Source organism: Homo sapiens, assembly GCF_000001405.40.
Source record: "Homo sapiens chromosome 1 unlocalized genomic scaffold, GRCh38.p14 Primary Assembly HSCHR1_CTG6_UNLOCALIZED".
Taxonomy (NCBI): Eukaryota; Metazoa; Chordata; class Mammalia; order Primates; family Hominidae; genus Homo; species Homo sapiens.
The window spans coordinates 1-4,610 of NT_187366.1; positions in this window are offsets into that span (position 1 = coordinate 1).

Below are 4,610 nucleotides of genomic sequence, written 5' to 3' on the forward strand. Positions count from 1 at the left end.
TGTGTATGTGTATGTGTATGTATGTGTATGTGTATGTGTATATGTATATGTATATGTAGTCCTCAGGTTGTATTCCTTAAATATATATAATATATGTAATTCCTTAAATATATAATTTTAATACAAAATTTTTAAAAGATTCCTTTCATAAACATTTACAATAACACCAAGAAATATAAACTACATAGCAAAGATGTGAAAGCCAGCCAGGCGCAGCTTCAAATCCTAGCGCTTAGGAAGGCTGTGGCAGGAGGGTCGCTTGAGCTCAGAAGCTTGAAACTAGCTTAGGCAACATAGTGAGACCTCATCTCTACTGAAAATCAGAAAAATTATCCGGCTGTGGTGGTGTGAGCCTGTAGTCCCAGGTACTCAGTGGATGAGGCCCTAGGATGTCATCGGCCTGAGAATTCCATGCTGCAGTGAGCTGTGTGATCTTGCCACTGTACTCCAGCCTGAGTGAAAGAGTGAGATCGTGTCTAGAAACAAAAGAAGAAAAAAAAAAAGGTGTGAAAGCCTATATATTGAAGATTACCACGTATTACTGAGAGCAGTTAAAGACCTTTGGAATAGAGAACGTTCCTTCTTGCATTTCAAGATTGCTTTTGTTTTGGGGGGACACTTGCTGTTTTTTAGGAACATGAAGTTCTTCTCAGGCATTCCTGTAAAAAAAGCCACTTTTTGATAGGATTGTATTGAGTCTGTGGATTGCTTTGAGTTGTATTTTTATCTTAACCATGTTACAACTTCCAACCCATGGACACAAGATGTCTTTCCATTGATTTAGGTCTTCCTTAGTCTCCTCGAGCAATGTTCTGTAGTTGTCTGTGTACAAGTACTGCAACTTCTTGAACAAATTTATTCCCAGGCATATTATCCTTACAGGTGCTATTATAAATGAAATCATTGTGTCAGTTTACTTCTCAGATAGCTCATTGCCATCACAATGGATTGTTTGCTGAAAGTTTGCTGAATTCACTTATTAACTCTGATAGTGTGTGTGTGTGTGTGTGTGTGTGTGTGTGTGTGTGTCTGGTGTCTGTGTGCATGTATGTGTGTTTGCCTTTGTATGTATTGTTTGGGATTTTCTATGCATAGGATCACACCATCTGCAAATTGAGATCATTTTGTTTTCTGTTCAAAAATATTTTTTCTCATGTTTATTTTTGAAAGATAATTTGGCCAGGTGTAGACTTGTAGGTGACAGTTTTTCTTTTTTTAAGTACTTTATTGCAAACTTCTTGTTTGTAAAATTTCCTATGAGAAATCTTATGCCATCCTTATATTTAGTGCTCTGTATGTAACATGTTCTTTTCCCTTTTATTACTTTTAGGATTTCCTTTTTATCACTGGTTTTGATGGATTTGATTAAGGTGTTCCTTGGTGAAGTTTTCTGCATGTTTCTTGTTCTTGGGATAATCATATTTCTGTAATATTTGAAGTTTATGATTTCCATGGAGCTTCTAAATCTTTCATCCAGTATGTTTTAAATATCTTTGTCTCTCTTCTCCACTACCTGCCCTTCAGGGATTCCATTTAGCCCTATACTAGGGTGTTTAAAGTTTTGATGCTGATGGTCTTTATGTGTTTTCAAGTCATTTGTTAATGTGTGTTTCATTTATGTTAGTTTCAACTTCTATTCCTTCTAGTTTAATAATCTTCTCTTCTGCAATATTTAATCCAGTGCCTTCTTCCATTTCACACTGTAAATCATAGTTTTTATCTACAGAATTTGATATTTAAAAAATCTTCAACCTCTCCATTTAATTAAAATACAATTATACTAATTGCGGTAACGTCCTTTTCTTCTATTTCCAACGTGTGTGTCAATTTCAACCAGATTATTAGATTCTTCAGTATGTGTCATGTTTTCCTGCTTCTTTGACTGCTTGATATTCTTTTATTTTTATTTATTTGTTTTTGGGGGGATGGAGTTTCACTCTCGTTGCCCAGTCTGGAGTGCAATTGTGTGATCTCAGCTCACTGCAACCTCTGCCTCCCAGGTACTCAAGCGATTCTCCTGTCTCCGCCTCCCAAGTAGCTCAGATTACAGGCATGCACCATCATGCCCAGCTAAACTTTTTGTGTTTAGTAGAGACAGGGCTTCACCATGCTAGTCAGGCTGGTCGTGAACTCCTGACCTCAGGTGATCCACCCGGCTGCTTGATATTCTAAGATTTGATGCTGGAGCTTTGGTGTCAATGCTCAAAAGTGCCCAAAGACACCACTCAACCTCAGTGTCTATGCACACCCAAGCTTTTGCAACAGGAGAGGTAGAGACAGCAGAGATGAATGTGCTACAACATGCTGGTAGAAGGTACCCCAATTGTGCTTGGGGCTTCCTATGCCTCATAGAATAATGTGCCTTCCTTAATTTTTCCCATAAGAACCACCCTACTTCATGCCCTGTCTCTCTGTCCAAACACCAGGACAGCCCTCAGACCAGTCTCAACCACCCAATGGATTGACAAAGGTCCAAATATGATTCAGTGGAGAAGGCATTCTCTTGTCAACAAATTGTGTAGAAACAACTGGACATGCATATCCCCAAAGGAAAAAGATTCACCTGAACCTCAATACTGACTCAAAAACTAACTCAAAATGGATTATGCAACTAAATATAAACTATAAAAGTAGAAAAAGTATAGCAGGAAATATAAGACAAAATCTTCACGACACAGTTAGGCAAAGTGTTCTTTGTTATCAAGAAACACAAACCATTAAAGAAAACATTGATAAATTCAACTTTATAAAAAGTAAAAGTTTTTGCTCAACACGAGACAGTATTAAGAGAACAAATATAAGCTGCAGATTGGGAGAAAAACAGGGGAAATGACAAATGTGACAAAGGACAAGTGTGATAGTTACTTGCACGTATCACTGTGACTGAGCACCAGGGTGCCGGGACATTCGGCCAAATGTGATTCTGGTTGTGTTCCAGAGAGTGTTTCACATATGATTAACATCGGGATGGGCAGACTAAGTGAAGCAGATTGCCCCCCTTAACGGGGGTGGGACTCATGCAATCAATCAAAGGTCAGGAGAGAATTAAGAGGCCTAATGGGAAACAAATGCTTTCCTGGGTATCCAGCTTTCCTTCCATCTTGGGAATTTCAGCCTCCATAATCTCAGAAACAAATTCACATATGTATACACACACATATACATTTCATAGGTATGTGGCTAAGATTGTATTTTTAAAAGTTCAGCCATGAGATGATTGGTGAAGCCAGCCAATGAATAAGGGTGTGTTCTATTATATGACTCAGTCTTCTTTTGTACACGATTGAAGTTCTGCATTTGAAGTAGGAGGACAGGAGAGAGCAAGTCCACCTAGGATGATAACAGCTGAATTTCTCAACAGACACTTCAAAGCCCTAGGGGTTAACTTAGAGAGTCAAAAATCCCACCCATAACCCTGCCCCTAAACGCCAGGACTAGGGAACACTGTGGCCCTCAGGTGATTTTGTTTCACTTGGTCTGGGAGCCACACAAGGGCAGAGGGAGCAGGAAACACTAAGCAAATCGAGGCCAGGACAGCAGGGAGGGCCTGTTCATGACAGAACACAGGTAAAACTATCCTCAGAAAGAGCATGTGGAGAAACATAGATCATGCCTGAGACCTGGTGGATTAGAGCACTGGCTACTGGGGAATTGAAAGGAAGGGGCTTCACCATGCAGAGGACCAGAGGTGCCAGTCTTGGAAACGCAGAATTGCTGGGAGATGGGGAGGCATGGACAAAGGAAGCATCCTCTGGAGACTCATGGTGAAGAGAACAAATGAAGTAACTGGCAGAAATTATAGGTCCTGGTAGAACAAAATAGAATCCCACAATGAGAACATACAGCATGTATGTCCCGCAAGGAAGACAATAGCTCCTAAAAATGCAAGAAAAATCATTTTGGGCAAACACCTTATATCCAGTAATGCGATCCATGTATCAAGACCACGAGGAAGATTATTAAACATGCTAAACTCAGCGAGACCTGATTCCCTCATGAGGACTCTGTTAAGGATGAGTACCACTCAGCAAGTGATGACTGTGACATTCACTTTTGAACAGCTCATGAGCATTAATATATTTAATTGTGGATCTAAACCAAAAACCAAGGTGTGGGCAAGATGACAACCACAGAATGTCACTGGCATATGTTTAGGTTCAAATACCATTATGAGAAGTGGCAGGTAAAGGAGGTAGGAAAAAGAAAACACATCATGTAACTGACTGTCATATGGAAATATTTGACGTTGAAAGTCATAATTTAAAATGTATAAACCAAATATTAGAAGTGTGTCTAGTTCAAAGGGGGGAAAACTATGAAACATTTTTAATCAATATCAAACATGAGCTACACAACCCTTCCTAAATGCCAGAGGCACACACAGACACACACACACACACTCTCACAAAGAATATAAATATCTAGAACCAAGAAATGGAGTAAATGCATTCTGCTACATATGGTAAACATAGCCTACAAGGTGGAAGAGATTAGAAAATAAACAGGGAAATGGAAATGTTTTTATTAATTCACATCAGTACCCACCAAAACCAATCAGCATAACAAAAGATTATAACACTGAATGTAAAAAACAATCCAACAGTCCAGAG